We start from the raw sequence: 14795 nt of genomic DNA on the forward strand, positions 1-14795 counted from the left end.
GCCAACTACATAATAGTGTTGTTGATTAAAACCCCTGAGTTTGGCCAGGCGTGGTGGCTCACGCCTGTAATCCCAGCACTTTGGGCGGCCGAGGCGGGAGGATCATGAGGTCAGGAGATTGACACCATCCTGGCTAACACAGTGAAACCCCATCTCTACTAAAAATACAAAAAATTAGCCGGGCGTGATGGCGGACGCCTGTAGTCCCAGCTACTTGGGAGGCTGAGGCAGGAGAATGCTGTGAACCCAGGAGGCGGAGCTTGCAGTGAGCCGAGATCGCGCCACTGCACTCCAGCCTGGGGGACAGAGCAAGACTCCGTCTCAAAAAAAAAACAACAAACAAAACCCTGAGTTTTCGGGTGGATTGTTATACAGCATTATTGCAGCAAGAGCTAACTGATAAAGTGCCAAGCTTTTCACAAAAGTATATGCAACAAGATGGGATTAAGACTGTCGTGGCTAAGGGGGATCAGAGAGATGGCAATGAAACAGTAGTGTTCTTCAAATATGAGTAACTTACGCCCCTTTCAACAAATGTTCTTGTAGACTCTCCATATGACCTTTATGTTAACTATGTACATATATAAAACTAAAGGCTGGGTATGGTGGCTCAGGCCTGTACTCCCTTGGGAGGCCAAGGCGGGAGGATCACTTGAAGCCAGAGTTGGAGACCAGCCTGGGGGCGGGGGAGAAAAAAACAAAAAACATAGCCAGGTTTGGTGGGACACACCAATCAATTTCAAAAATGGAATCATTTCAGTTGTCCTATCAGAAGCCGGAGCGACAGGTAAGTCTGCACTAACAGAAGGGCTATGTGGGAGTGGAAAAGGCGGCCTTCCTGGCATGTGTCATGACACTGCAGGAGCCAGACGCTAATCCAGCCCAGGAAGCCTACCGAGAAAACGCTGCCCTCCTGCATTTCCAATTTCAACGTGTCCTTAGACCTCACTGCAAATGCACCATGATGACACACAACTTGGTAGCATAGTGAGTGGAGTTTATTTTTATAATTTGTAGAAAATTGACATTTAGATTTCAAAACTTATATTACAAAATTATCAGCAGCAGTCTTAAGCATTTCAACAATGCTGATAGATTCCACTTTGCTAACACAAACAAGGCTATTATACCATGTTCGAAAAGCAAGACTTGTTCCAAGAGGGCCTATTATTATACATCTGCCTCACTGCTCAGGACCCGTTTGTGACTGTGTCTTCTTCCATCTCTTCTTCACCATCATCAGTGGGCCCTAAAGAAAACCACCAAAGCAAAAGTAGTATCAATTTTAGAGAATCCATTCCCTTAGCATGCAAGTGTTTGTTCTGTGGCCACTGTTTGTTACACACTGAAGTAGGTACAAAAAGATCAAAAGCAGCACCTGCCTTTGAGGAGCTTATCGTCCAGGGACGGTCTAGTCTGTCTTTGGCAGGTACTGGAAGGGATGCTCAATTTCAAAGGAAAAGGGTCACAAAGATTTCAAAATTGTTGCCTCCCATTGTAGTTGATAATAATTCATTTTTGGTGAAGGTAAAGCCTATACTCATGTGCTTTTCATGGCACTACCGTAGGCAAAGAAACCGGAAATACTCAAAAACATCTGGGCACCTACTACATGCCATATACTGGCAACAGTTCAATGACTTTATTGTCTCTAAATTAGGGAAATATGCCAACAACTACCAAAAAATGTTACATTTGTTCAACAATTTATGGCAGGTATTTTGCTCAATGTATTCCAGGGGGAAAAAAAAGTTGTAACTCCTTCAATTGTTTGGGAAACAATTGTTATTGTTGACTTAATGTCTGACTTAACATCAGTCAGCTGAATTATTGTATTGGTTTCATCATTCCATCCTGTGCAATACGGCATTTTGATTGACGGGCATGAAGAAAATCTGGCCACACAGGCACACAGTTAGAAAAGGGAGGAAGATTTTAACAGCCTGTGCAGATAATGGTGGATGCTCTTTTTAGATACTATGCTAAAACTTGACAAATGGTAGCTTCCTCAAGGTTAGATGGCAGTGTAAAAGTCTGAAACCTTATCAATGAACTTTTCATACTCTTACTTGGTTTATCTTGTACTTTGAACAAATCTTTTACCCGTACATGATTTCGTATCATTTGGAAAACTGTGGTTCACCGACTTTTGCAGATCTTCCAAACGTTGAGCCATGTAATTACACATCAAAAATGTCACACCCATTAATTCACATGCACATAACATTACTATTGAGTTCCCCAGAAAAGTCTTAAAGTACTGGGAAGCTGGCAGGTTACGGCAGTGGATACAAGTTTTCTAAATTTTAATTTTTGCTTTAAACCTTGAATTTTCAATTGTTTTCCCTGAAGTGACAGGCTCACTTCATCATGTTTGAGAAGACAGGTAGCTGCCTCTCAACTGAAACAACTGCACCAGTGCATGGAGATAACCACCTAACTCAAGAATGCAGACATGTGCACCCCCTTTCTGTCACCCAGAATATCAAAGAGACGTGTGCCCGAGGAGTGATATTTAATTATCTTTACTGCTGCATCCAGGACACTCTTAAGTGAAACTGGTATGCACGCTACTGGGAGTGCAGAGCAGGGAAGAATGTAACAGCTATTATTTAGGCTGCTGCCTTGACTCCTACTGAGGTGCCCGCAGTTCTACCCACTATTGCTCCATCAGTGCAAATGTTCATACTAAAGCAAGTAACACCTTGGTGTTATTAGATGAAAACAGTCTTCGGCCAGGCGCGGTGGCTCACGCCTGTAATCCCAGCACTTTGGGAGGCCAAGGCGGGTGGATCATGAGGTCAGGAGATCGAGACCATCCTGGCTAACATGTGTTTTTAGTAGAAACCCTGTCTCTACTAAAAAAAAAAAAAATACAAAAAGTTAGCCATGCTTGGTGGCGGGCGCCTGTAGTCCCAGCTACTCGGGAGGCTGGGGCAGAAGAATGGCATGAACCCAGGAGGCGGAGCTTGCAGTGAGGTGAGATTGCACCACTGCCCTATAGCCTGGGCGACAGAGCGAGACTCCGTCTCAAAACAACAACAACAACAAAATCAGTCTTCACCTTACAGACTCCCAGAGGCCCACAAACCATACAGTAGAGAATTACTGGTCTTAAAAAATTTCTTTTTGGCTGGGCACGGGGCTCACGCCTGTAATCCCAGCACTTTGGGAAGACGAGGCAGGTGGATCACGGGGTCAAGAGATTGAGACCATCCTGGCCAACATGGTGAAACGCTGTCTCTACTAAAAATTAATTAGCCGGGCACGGTAGCAGGTGCCTGTAATCCCAGCTACTTGGGAGGCTGAGGCAGGAGAATCGCTTGAACCCGGGAGGCGGAGGTTGGCGTGAGCCGAGATCGCGCCACTGCACTCCAGCCTGGGCAAAAAGAGCAAAACTCCGACTCAAAAAGGAAAAAAATGTCTTTTTAATTTTTAGCTCCCAGCTCAAACATTATTTCCCTAGGAAACTTCCCCAAGACGGCAGTCTGAGTGGCTGTCCCCAGTTACATTCATATCAAAACTTGTAAGACGTATTTCAGTACTTTTTATCTTATATCCCTAGTGCCCCACATGCAGCCTAGCATAAAGCAGGCATTCAGATGTCAGAACAGTTACCACTTATCAAAAACTCGCTAATGTTGAGCCTTGTGCTGTGTTCAGTCTCTCAGCCTCTCGGCAACCTTTTGAGGTTTGCTACTATTGTTATCTCAGATTTAAAGATGAGGAAAGACTTGAAGAAACTTGTCCAAAGGCAGAGCTGGTGAAGCTGAGATTTGGGCCTCGGACTGCTTGGCTCTAGAGCCTGTGTTCCTAACTACTGAGGTATCATGCACACACGCAAATATATATAGGTAAAAGTCCACATGGCTATCGCTAGTGTTCGGTGCACTCCATGGCTGAAGTAATTCTAGCTTCAACTTTTACATAAAACCCCCCACAGTGCTGTAACTTAACTTTCTTCATGAAATACCTTTTTTTTTTTTTTGAGCTGCAGTTTTGCTCGTTGCCCAGGCTGGAGTACAAAAGTGCGATCTCGGCTCACCACAACCTCCACCTCCCGGGTTCAAGCGATTCTCCTGCCTCAGCCTCCCGAGTAGCTGGGATTACAGGCGCGCACCACCACCCCCGGCTAATTTTGTATTTTTAGTAGAGATGGGGTTTCTCCATGTTGGTCAGGCTGGTCTCGAACTCCTGACCTCAGGTGATCCGCCCGCCTCAGGCTCCCAAAGTGCTGGGATTACAGGCGTGAGCCACTGCACCCAACCCATCAAATACTTTATCTTCAAAGAGCATTTAAAGAGATTTCATATATTAGATTTGATGTAAGGAGGCACTACTCTGGCATTCCAGAGTCATGGCATCTAAATGGTTGTGAGTTACACTCTGAGTGTAACATTAATTTGAACATACAAAGAACACCATTTGTTCACCTGATCTGCGTTCTCTGCCAGGGATCTGACCAGACTGCAGCAACCCCTTCAGCCTCTCCACTTCAGCCAGAGTTGAAGCATTTGCTATGGCATTCTGGAGGACAGAGGGCAATGGAGATGGATGATTAACTTCAACCAAGTATCAGCTACCCAGAAAACTAAGTGTCAATCACCTACAGAAATTCACAGCAACTTCTCCATCAGGAACATTAAATACTTTGGTGTAGGGGGAAGAATGTTATTGGCCCACAAAAATAAAACTAGAAGCCAAACCACAAATTTCTAAAATTGGTGAAGAGATGCAGGCCTTCTTATAAATAATCACTCCACATGTTCTAAAATCGTAGCTAAGTGAAGTAACTATTTGCAATTATGTTACTGAATAATTTAAGGAGGCAATATTATAAAACGAGGGTCCCTACTGATCAGTCAAAAGGATTTGCCAGACAGCAAATCTTCGAAAGTAAAAATTAAGGCAAACACTGAGACAGCATACCAAGGTAAGTAACTGTTCGAAGTGATAAATGCACCTTGGAAAATGAGAAAGACAAAGCTGCCTCCACATTAATTAGCTTGTGTAATTTCAAGTCTGATCAAATAATAACTTTATGCTAGTTTTTCCTTAAACAGAAATATTGCTGTATGCTAATAACTGTGGGAAAATGAAATCTGCAATGTTCGGAACATGTTTATTATCCAGCTTTGTGTTCTGAACCCATCTTAGCTCATTCCAGTCCAAGAATCCTAACACATGATTACCTTGATTGCTTCTACATCCCCTGGAGATGGCCCACCTTTCTTTTTGTCAGTTGGCAAACCAGCACCTGGATTAAAACTTAAGAGGGGGAAGAACATAACTGTTAGACCTAGACCAACAGAAGTTGCTTCTCTTTTACTTTCAAAAGCTTTTGAAAGTAATTCAACCAGTGTAGTATCTTATCTTTGTTAACAAACTGATACAAGAACTCTCTCCTTCAGAAACACCATCCAGTTCATCTTCCTATATAGAAAATAGGATGTACATGGTATCACATGAAGACTGACTACTGAAATATTTGCTCTGCTAAGCTGGTAGAAATTTCTTGTGATGTGTGGACCATTGATGTACATGGACTATAAGCACTCAAATTTAATACCACATTAATATGTCAGAGTTTTTGGTTAATTTTGTAGGAGACGAACTGCCAGACAGATCAGATCATGTTTCTGAAGGTGAAGTAGAGTTAAGTTGGATATCCGTGTCTTACGTTTTGCTTCTCCTGGCAATATCCTTTGCAAGCTGTGCACCCCGTTTGCCCTTGAACATTTTCTCTGCTTCCTGACGCTCCTACAGCGACACCACACACAGAGTTAATGGAAATAGGAATACCACATGCATTTAGATGCATTCCTCAGAAGACATGGAAGCGAACTCTCCTACAGTACTCCGGGCTGGTGAAAATACCAAAAAGCAATTTCAAATTAAGAGAAGACACAGTGGTCTTCTTTCTTTGGTAGAGCTCCCTGAAGAAAGTTCATTCTCCTAGCTCCAAGGAGGGGATCCCAGGGAACTAAGAAGGCAATTAAATGAATAATAAAATAATGAATTCCTAATAAAGGGAAAAATCATCCTAACACACGGAGCTGCACGAAAGTAGGTTACATTAAGTTCTCCGCTGGGAACGTATCTAGGCAGACAATCCACTGTTAAGACTGCTCACCGTGGCCTCAGCACTTTGCGAACTTCGGAATAGCCAGCATTACATAAGAGAGCTCCAACTTAAAAGTTCTATCATAAACTCTGCTATTAGAAAAAAATGTGATGTAACATTTTCCCTCCCACTTTTATTACAAACTAATGGTAAAATTTACTCATTTAGACAATTTTAATAATCAGTAACAAAAATATAAAGAAAAACACACAACTCTATAATGGCTCACAAGCAACAGATTACTACTTACTTTTAGTTTCACTTTCTGGAAATCCAGTACTCTGACTTGCGGAACTTTATAAATCACATACAATCTGTAATGCTTCTTATTGGTTACCGGATTTCTTAGGATACTACAAGAAAAGGAATGACACAATGGCAAACTTGTTCATGGCACAGCACTCAAGAGGTCTGTTTGAATAGTCTAAGGAACCTATAAATCAAGGGAACATTCACATTCTTCACATTGCAACATTGTAACAATTTAACATTAAGGAAATATATTCAATCTTTCTTTGTAAAAGGCACTTTTTTTTTAAATTATACTTTTAAGTTCTAGGGTACATGTGCACAACTTGCAGGTTTGTTACATATGTATACATGTGCCATGTTGGTGGGCTGCACCCATTAACTTGTCATTTACATTAGGTATATCTCCTAATGCTTTCCCTCCCCCCTTTCCCCACCCCACAACAGGCCCCGGTGTGTGATGTTCCCCTTCCTGTGTCCAAGTGTTCTCATTGTTCAATTCTCACCTACGAGTGAGAACATGGGGTGTTTGGTTTTTTGTCCTTGCGATAGTTTGCTGAGAATGATGGTTTCCAGCTTCATCCATGTCCCTACAGAGGACATGAACTCATCCTTTTTTATGGCTGCATAGTATTCCATGGTGCATATGTGCCACATTTTTTAATTATCTGATTACATTAAGGTCAAGGCTGGTAAAAGTAATGTTATTTTAAAGGGCTTCATTTTGTCACAATATGTAATTCCCATACCTTAGGTAAGTCAGCGATTTGAGAGATGCCAGAGGGTCCAGATCACCCTGTCAAGCAATAGCCACAGGTAAGAACGCGAATACCACACGCTATTTTGAGATTCTGAAATGGAGAGTGCTTTTGAAGCAAGTTGTCTTTTCATTATTTACTGAATTTTTACTCTCTAGCAACAAGCCCAATACTAGCACATCACAAATGTTTAAATAATTTCTACCGATGAATACATGGGAGCTTCTTAAAATCTTGGCATTAACAGCTTCTGTCTCAATAGCAGGAGATAAGAAATTGCTTTCCTACAGGAATCTCAAAGTGGCTGCTGAGCCATGATTTGGAAAAGAAAACAATGGCAAAGCTGATGGGACTCTGGAGCAACCTATTCACACTGGGAACTGCAAGCCAGAATCTTGGTGTAAGTGGGCTTTCCTGCTAGCGCCAGCTTCAGCGTCTAAGAACAACAAAGGTATACTGTCTTTTGAAAGAAGGTACATTTATCCTAGCTGCCCCTGAAAATCTCTTTAAATAAAATTTGCAGGGACAAGGAATAGTATAGCTTAAAAATGATCGAATTAATGGAAAGAAGGCAGGGTGATTTTTTTTTTTTTTTTTTTTGAGACGGAGTCTCGCTCTGTTGCCCAGGCTGGAGTACAGTGGCGTGATCTTGGCTCACTGCAAGCTCCGCCTCCCGAATTCATGCCATTCTCCTGCCTCAGCCTCCCAAGTAGCTGGGACTACAGGCGCCCACCACCATGCCCGGCTAATTTTTTTTGCATTTTTAGTAGAGACGGGGTTTCACTGTATTAGCCACGATGGTCTCGATCTCCTGACCTCGTGATCTGCCTGCCTCGGCCTCCCAAAGAGCTGGGATTACAGGCGTGAGCCACCACGCCCAGTGGGCAGGGTGAATTTTTAATCTTCTCCAATTGTTCCATAAAACATAGTGCAATAAGGATAGCAAAAAAACAAAAACCTATGGTTACCAGCTACAACCAAGCTAGATGGCAAGGCATTCTGCAGTAACTCTAAAATAGGAACAAGTAGAGACAACCCATGTTGAGAGCAACAAGGCTTGCAGGGTGACGGCCTTTGTACAGGAAGAAGCAGAGGGGAGGCGAGGAGCCGTCTTACAAACTGGAGAACTCCAGTGACTGAGAAAAGCAGGCCCAAGACCAGCATGTTCCAATAATGACTACAGGGGTCTGTGATAAGGGCTGCAGGGGCAAGAGCAATTTGGGCCCTCACTCTTAATAGAAATCATGTCCCAACACGGCCCTGCCCTGAAGAGAAACTGCTGGAACAGGCGCAAATTGGGTAGATGGTGGGGAAGGGGTGTGTGTGTGCAAGAGGCACAATGAGAAAAAAAAGTACAGATAAAAACAGGGAGAGCAGAGCCAGAAATTCTCAAAAAGCAAGCTGCCATCTTCAAATATGTCACAAAAACCACCAGAGGGAGCTCTAGAGCTTGATACTGTTTTACCCCCACTGAAGATGATCCAAAAAGGAATAAAGAACAAAGTGGTAACATTTGTTACATACACAGTGTAAAACGTAATGGCGATGTAGTGATGGGCTTCAAAAAAGAATAAATATGTAACAACCCGAAGGCTGCTGAAATGTTGAAGGTCACTGTACTGTATTGTTTAGCAGGGTAAAGGTGTCAAAGTTTAAAATTAAATGTTGAAGGTCATGGTACAGTGATCTTAACATTTAATTTTAAACTTTTATAAATATGTGTGTTTTAATTCCTACGATGCTAACTCAAGATTGAAAGAGAGTAATTTCTAAACCATCAGAAGAAAAAATGGAATGACAGAAGGAGAGCATCTACAATAAAGGAGAGAAAACGGATTGAAGAACGGGTGGGACAGACAGGAAGCCCCAGAACAGAGAGAAGACAAACTGGAACACACCAGTAATTACATTAAATGTAAACAGACTAAATATAAATAATTCACTTAAAAGAGCTTTCAGACTGGATTGTAAAAAATTCCAACCAGAGCTGGGCGCGGTGACTCACGCCTATAATCCCAGCACTTTGGGAGGCCAAGGCGGGTGGATCACAAGGTCAGGAGTTCGAGACCAGCCTGACCAACATGGTGAAACTTCGTCTCTACTAAAAAAAAAAAAAATACAAAAATTAGCCAGATGTGATGGCGCCCACCTGTAATCCCAGCTACTCGGGAGGCTGAGGCAGCAGGAGAATCACTTGAACCCAGGAGGCAGAGGTTGCAGTGAGCCGAGATCTCGCCACTGCACTCCAGCCACTCCATCTCAAAAAAAAAAAAAAAAAATTCAACCATACAGTTTTTAAGAGAGAAATCTAAACTACAAGAGGTACAGACAAGCTGAAAGTAAATTTTGGATGGAAAACGATTTATCATGCATATAACTAACCAAAACAAAGATTGTTTCGAGGTAAAAGAAACCTCAAGGTAAACAGCATTAATAGAGATCGAGGGTCACAACATAATAAAAAGTTTCCGTTCACCAGAAAGATATGAATAATTTAAAATTTGTATGTATCAAATAAGGCAACTTCAAAATATACAAAACTAAAATCGACAGAACTTCAGGGATAGTCAAATCCACTACCATGCTGTGAGATTCTAACATACCTCTCTCAATAACTGATAAGCCCAGTAGTCTTCATCTTTGCAAAGAGCTTTAAATACAACTCTAATTTCTCTAACAGCACCTATCATGAGACACATTGCCTATAAATATGTATTTCGGGTTGAATACTTCACACACTTCAGAAAGGACATGGCCATGGACCAGTGCTGTCTTATGTTTGTAGTCAAGCATCTCCTTGAGAATCTGAAGGATGCTATGGACCTTGTCCACAAGGAAAGGAACACAGTTCATTCTCAACAATCAGGAAAATACGGGAGGAAGGTTAAGTCACAAAATTAAGTTATACGATTTTTTTTTTTTTTTGAGATGAGGTCTTGCACTATTGCCCAGACTGGAGTACAGAGACATGATCATGTCTCACTGCAGCCTCGACTGATGGCTAGGGCTCAAGTGATCCTCCCACTTTAGCCACTGGAATACCTGGGACCACAGATGCACGCTACCACTTTTGGCATTTTTTTTTTTTTTTTTTTTGAGACGGAGTCTCTTTCTTTGCCCAGGCTGGAGTGCAGTGGCATGATCTCAGCTCATTGCAACCTCTGCCTCCTGGGTTCAAGCAATCCTCCTGTCTCAGCCTCCCAAGAAGCTGGGATTACAGGAACCCACCACCACGCCCGGCTAATTTTTGTATTTTTAGTAGAGACGGGGTTTCACCATATTGCCCAGGCTGGTCTTGAACTCCTGACCTCGTGATCCACCCGCCTCGGCCTCCCAAAGTGCTGGGATTACAGGCATGAGCCACTGCACCCGGCTTTTCTAAAAAAATTACTTATAGAGAGAGACAAGGTCTCACTATGTTGCCCAGGCTGGTCTAGAACTCCTGGGCTCAAGTGATCCTCCCACCTTGGCTTCCCAAAGTGCTTGGATTACAGGCATGAGCTATGGCACCTGGCCTACAATATAAATTTAAGCATCCAGTGTTTAAGTGAAGAATTTAGGTTACAAAACAATACACAGTATCTCAATTATGTTAAAAATTGGATACACAGAACAGAAATTTAAAAAGCATGAAAACAGTTCCAAGTGGATTGTTCATCTAACGTGAAGAGTAAAACAAGGTTTCTAGACTGGAACTGTTCAGCAAGATTTAATGCATATCAGATATGTAATCTAAAATTTTCTAGTAGCCATGTTAAAATAGGTGAAACTAATTTTAATAATATGCCATTTAACTTATTATCCAAAACGTTATCATTTCAACATCGATATAAAAAAATTACTGAGATAGTTTACTTTTTTTTTTTTTTGCACTTAAGTCTTTGAAATCCAGTGTGTATTTTATAGTTCTAGCACATCTCAATTATAAGTAGCCACCTGTAGTTACTGGTACTATATTGAACACTGCAATTGTAGAAAACAACATAGGAGTTTATAACCCTGGAATAGGGGAAATTTAAACATCAAAAGGGCTACAATAAAGAAGAAGATTGATTCATTGGACTGCACCTAAATTAGGAACTTCTCTAACAAGACATCCTAAGTCAAAAGTCAAGTAAAAGTAGGAAAATATTTGCAACATACGGCTGCAGAACCCAAAAGGCCCAGATCCTGAATTAAGAAAAAGACAAGAAAGAGGATACTGAGATCATTTTCTAGATTTTGTAAATTTTCTGTAGGAAGCACATAGTACCTTTAACCCCACCCACCAAATACATTTTCCTTCTGTGCAACTTACCAGTTCCACGAGACTATTATTGGTGAGAATGAGTTCTGTCAGACAGGGCAGAGCCTGATCAAGTCCCTCACCTATACGGCTAAAATAAAAATAGAGTCTTAGTAAAAGTGAAAATTAAATAAGCTAACAATTTTATCTACCTCCTTGCTCAGAGGATCACAGAGAGACACTTAGAGATCCTTCTTCCAACACCCTGATAAAGAGGAAACAAAGCAAAAAGAACCCTTTTCTGAGGCCACAGGGTCAGCAACAGAAGTGGGATTTTAGACACTGCCTGGGGCTAATTCCACTGTCATACCATCTAGTGGAACCTGAGAAAAGGTGCAACTCCTGGGTGGCACAAACTACTTAACTCACTTCATGATTTTTTGTGCAGGCAGCACAGAAATACAAATAATTCTGGATTCCCAGCTCAGGTACAAGACACAACAACTATACTATAGGGGAATGGTTAACCTATGAGAAATATTTCTATCTGAAGGAAATCCCACTCACCACCCAGTACCTTTAAAGACATTATCTATACACCAAGTGCTTTTTTTCCAATAAAGTTTACACAGAGCTGATGAAGGCAGGGTCAAAAAAGATCTCAATTTCAATAAGTAACAGTCTAGAAATTAGTTGCAGTTAAAAAAAAAAAAAAGCAGAGACGCTCAGTCAAAAGTATAATTGTTACCTTTATATATCCTTTTACTATGACCCCTTTGATAATTGTTTTAGAAGCCAAAATGTATACAAAGCAACATGTTTTTATTTAGAAACTTAACCATGAAAATAAAAATACATGATTTCTGAACAGATACAAGTAAGACTAGACTAATGCCAGGTTAATCTCTGGATCTCTATAGGAAAAGTGAAGTTCATTTCTCATTTTAAGAAAAAACATGTATTGAATGTGGCTTCCATTATGGAAAAAATATTTTTTCAAAATATAAATAAAAAAGAAAAAGAAAAAGAAAAAGAAACATGTAGGTTTAACCAGTAGCACGTGCTACAACTTCTTCAGGAAACACTGCAACATTTACTCTAGGGGAAAAAATTACTTTCCCCTACAGACACGTACCATATTCTGTTGTTGTTCACTAACAATGTTTTCAGTCTTCTCAACAAAGGAAAACCATCCAGTTTCCTGATCTCATTGTCAGAAAAATCAATAGCATCAAACTGGTCTAACGTAGCACCTAGATTTTCAATGACGGGAATTTTATACCCTATAAAATGGAGGAAAAAAACACAAGAGGTATTAATATAACTAAACAGTTGCCCCTTAAAGCATTAGCTGTATTTCATAGTATCTGACTCCAGGCTTTGATTTATTCAGGAAGTATTACCTAGCACCTATGTCGGGTCACGCATGACTTGCCGCTGTTTAAGATACTAGAGAGAAAACGCTGAACGAGTCTCAAGTCCCCAGTGCCATGAAGCTTAGAATCTGATGACAACAAGGACAAGGACAATAACAATGGCTGATATAGGCAGCTAACATTTATAAGAACATTTACAAGGTGCCTCACACTGTCCTAAGTCGTTTGGGCTAGTTAAGCGGAATCGGCACAACAGGAGTTTACACTTGGAGCTGCTTAGTCTCAGTGCCCAAACGGCGTTCAAACATTGTGGACGACAGTTCTCCACTCTTGCATCTCCACAGGCCAGATTCTTAGAACCCATCAGAACAGCCTCAACATATCACGACAGTTCTCCCTCCCCTCCCCCAGCTCCAATTCAGAATTGAAGATCAATGGTTTAAATACAGTAATAAATCTGTGAACACTCAAATGTTAATTTGTCTAATTTGGGCATAATTATTGTGTTAGGCACTATAAGAAAAGAAATATTCCGAAGAAGCAAGGTCTACTAAAAAAAGAACTTACCCAAAGTTAAAGGACACAATTCAGAGCTGTACTACACGTACTGCATCAAAATACGTATTCTCAACACTGCACATGCTCCATAAAGAGAAATGGCAGAGATCATCAAAAGTGGTGAGTTGGGCCGGGCGCAGTGGCTCAAGCCTGTAATCCCAGCACTTCGGGAGACCAAGGCGGGCGGATCACCTGAGGTCGGGAGTTCGAGACCAGCCTGACCAACATGGAGAAACCATGTCTTTACTAAAAATACAAAAAATTAGCCGGGCGTGGTGGCGCATGCCTGTATTCCCAGCTACTCGGGAGGCTTGAGACACAGGAATCACCTGAACCGGGGAGGCGGCGGTTGCAGTGAGCCGAGATCACGCCACTGCGCTCCAGCTGGGGCGGAAAGAGCGAGACTCCATCTCAACACAACACAACACAAAACAGTGGGATTTCCCAAAGGTCGGCAAGAAATCTAAGCAGATCCCGCAGCGATGCTGCTCCGAGGCCATAGGTCCCCATGGGAACAAATCTCAGGCTACGACAGCATGGTCTTATCCTCAGAGAAGTTGCTCTATCACGTCCCTTTTAAAGCCGTCTCCTGAAATGCCAACTAGCTAGCTGCCCTCCCAGTATCTTACCAAGTCTTGCTAAGGTTGAAATAGTACAGGAATCTGAATAATTGCGAGCGCTTCCACAACTTACACACAGCACCCGGCGGTGCAAGCCTGGGTGACACAGTTCAATTTTTAAAACGTCTTCATATAGGGGAAACGCCAGACAATTAAAGCTACTAAGTAGAAAATACTGGAGGAAACAATCGCGGTTGTTCGGGGACTTAGTTTCCTCCCTCACATTAGGAATAATGAACACATATCCTATCTACGCTCAAAATATCATCTGGCGGCAAGTATTAAGAACCAATCCCGCGCCCTGCACTTGCGTTACAACCATTAATGAGCCGCTCTTCCGGGCCCTCAAACAGCCAGCGGCGAAACAGCCAAGCAAGGCCTAACAGGGCCCCACGAGGACGCACCAGGAAGTAATGAAGTCACCCGTGCCTGTCAAGAGGCACGGCGCTAACAGAAGGCTCCCAGGAGCTTAACCGGATGCTCATCTGGCAACAACGGCAAGAATCAGGCCCGGCGTTCCCTGCGCAGCCCGGTCGGAGCCCAGACAACCGGCCCGCGGGCCAAGCTCCGGCCTTCGGTGCACGCGGCAAAGCGCGGAAAATAAGGCGGCTCGGTGCCGCCTGGGGACTGGCCGCCCACGCCCCCGGACTCACCCCGGAGGTCCAGCTCCCGGTCGCGCACCGCGTTGGTGTACTGCGCCGCCTGCTCGATCAGCTCCGCCGTCAGCTTGACCATCCTGCAGCCTCCCGTTCCCCCGCGCTGTGGAAAGCCCGTGGCCTCCCGCCAGCGAGACGTCCCAGCGTGCCCCGCGCCCCGCCGCCAGGCAGCACCAATCGCAGCCGCCGAGTGCGCGCGCAGCTCGACCGCCAGGCCGAAGCAATCGAA

The 14795-nt window shown here is 42.8% G+C and overlaps 1 protein-coding gene across 4 annotated transcripts, besides 3 other annotated features; it reads right to left on the reverse strand.

The window, feature by feature from the left end:
* On the reverse strand, positions 977–14715 carry SNRPA1 (small nuclear ribonucleoprotein polypeptide A'). Of its 4 annotated transcripts, NM_003090.4 has the most exons (9): positions 14564–14715; positions 12492–12639; positions 11429–11507; positions 7123–7169; positions 6375–6477; positions 5681–5760; positions 5193–5268; positions 4434–4527; positions 977–1249 (listed from the first exon to the last, which is right to left on the reverse strand). In NM_003090.4, the coding sequence occupies exons 1-9, from the start codon at positions 14643–14645 to the stop codon at positions 1191–1193; spliced, it is 768 nt and encodes a 255-aa protein (NP_003081.2). In that variant the 5' UTR covers positions 14646–14715; the 3' UTR covers positions 977–1190. The 4 variants fall into 4 exon arrangements, 1 of the variants encoding a protein (NP_003081.2); NR_135508.2 differs by lacking the exon at positions 5681–5760; NR_135506.2 differs by lacking the exons at positions 5681–5760; positions 11429–11507; positions 12492–12639.
* Positions 12672–12751: an enhancer, noted in NCBI's record as "active region_10192". NCBI's record gives its function as "activates an Ori minimal core promoter by ATAC-STARR-seq in GM12878 lymphoblastoid cells {active_cell/tissue: GM12878}" and the evidence as "EXISTENCE:reporter gene assay evidence [ECO:0000049][PMID:35858748]".
* Positions 13669–14300: an enhancer, noted in NCBI's record as "NANOG-H3K27ac-H3K4me1 hESC enhancer chr15:101834407-101835038 (GRCh37/hg19 assembly coordinates)". NCBI's record gives its function as "activates a minimal SCP1, AML or CMV promoter by ChIP-STARR-seq in naive H9 embryonic stem cells {active_cell/tissue: H9 hESC(naive)}" and the evidence as "EXISTENCE:reporter gene assay evidence [ECO:0000049][PMID:30033119]".
* Positions 14444–14633: a silencer, noted in NCBI's record as "silent region_6889". NCBI's record gives its function as "represses an Ori minimal core promoter by ATAC-STARR-seq in GM12878 lymphoblastoid cells {active_cell/tissue: GM12878}" and the evidence as "EXISTENCE:reporter gene assay evidence [ECO:0000049][PMID:35858748]".

Source organism: Homo sapiens, chromosome 15 (genome assembly GCF_000001405.40).
Source record: "Homo sapiens chromosome 15, GRCh38.p14 Primary Assembly".
In the NCBI taxonomy this organism is placed as follows: Eukaryota; Metazoa; Chordata; class Mammalia; order Primates; family Hominidae; genus Homo; species Homo sapiens.

Bases quoted from the DNA above. Each gene is read 5' to 3' on its own strand.
- SNRPA1 (NM_003090.4), bottom strand. From the start codon at position 14,645: ATGGTCAAGCTGACGGCGGAGCTGATCGAGCAGGCGGCGCAGTACACC. The intron at 11,508-12,491 runs GTACGTGTCTGT...TTTTTATTTTAG, and splicing joins GTGAACAACAACAGAATATG to CCGTATAGGTGAGGGACTTG. The intron at 5,761-6,374 runs GTAAGTAGTAAT...GTGTCGCTGTAG, and splicing joins TCCAGAAAGTGAAACTAAAA to GAGCGTCAGGAAGCAGAGAA.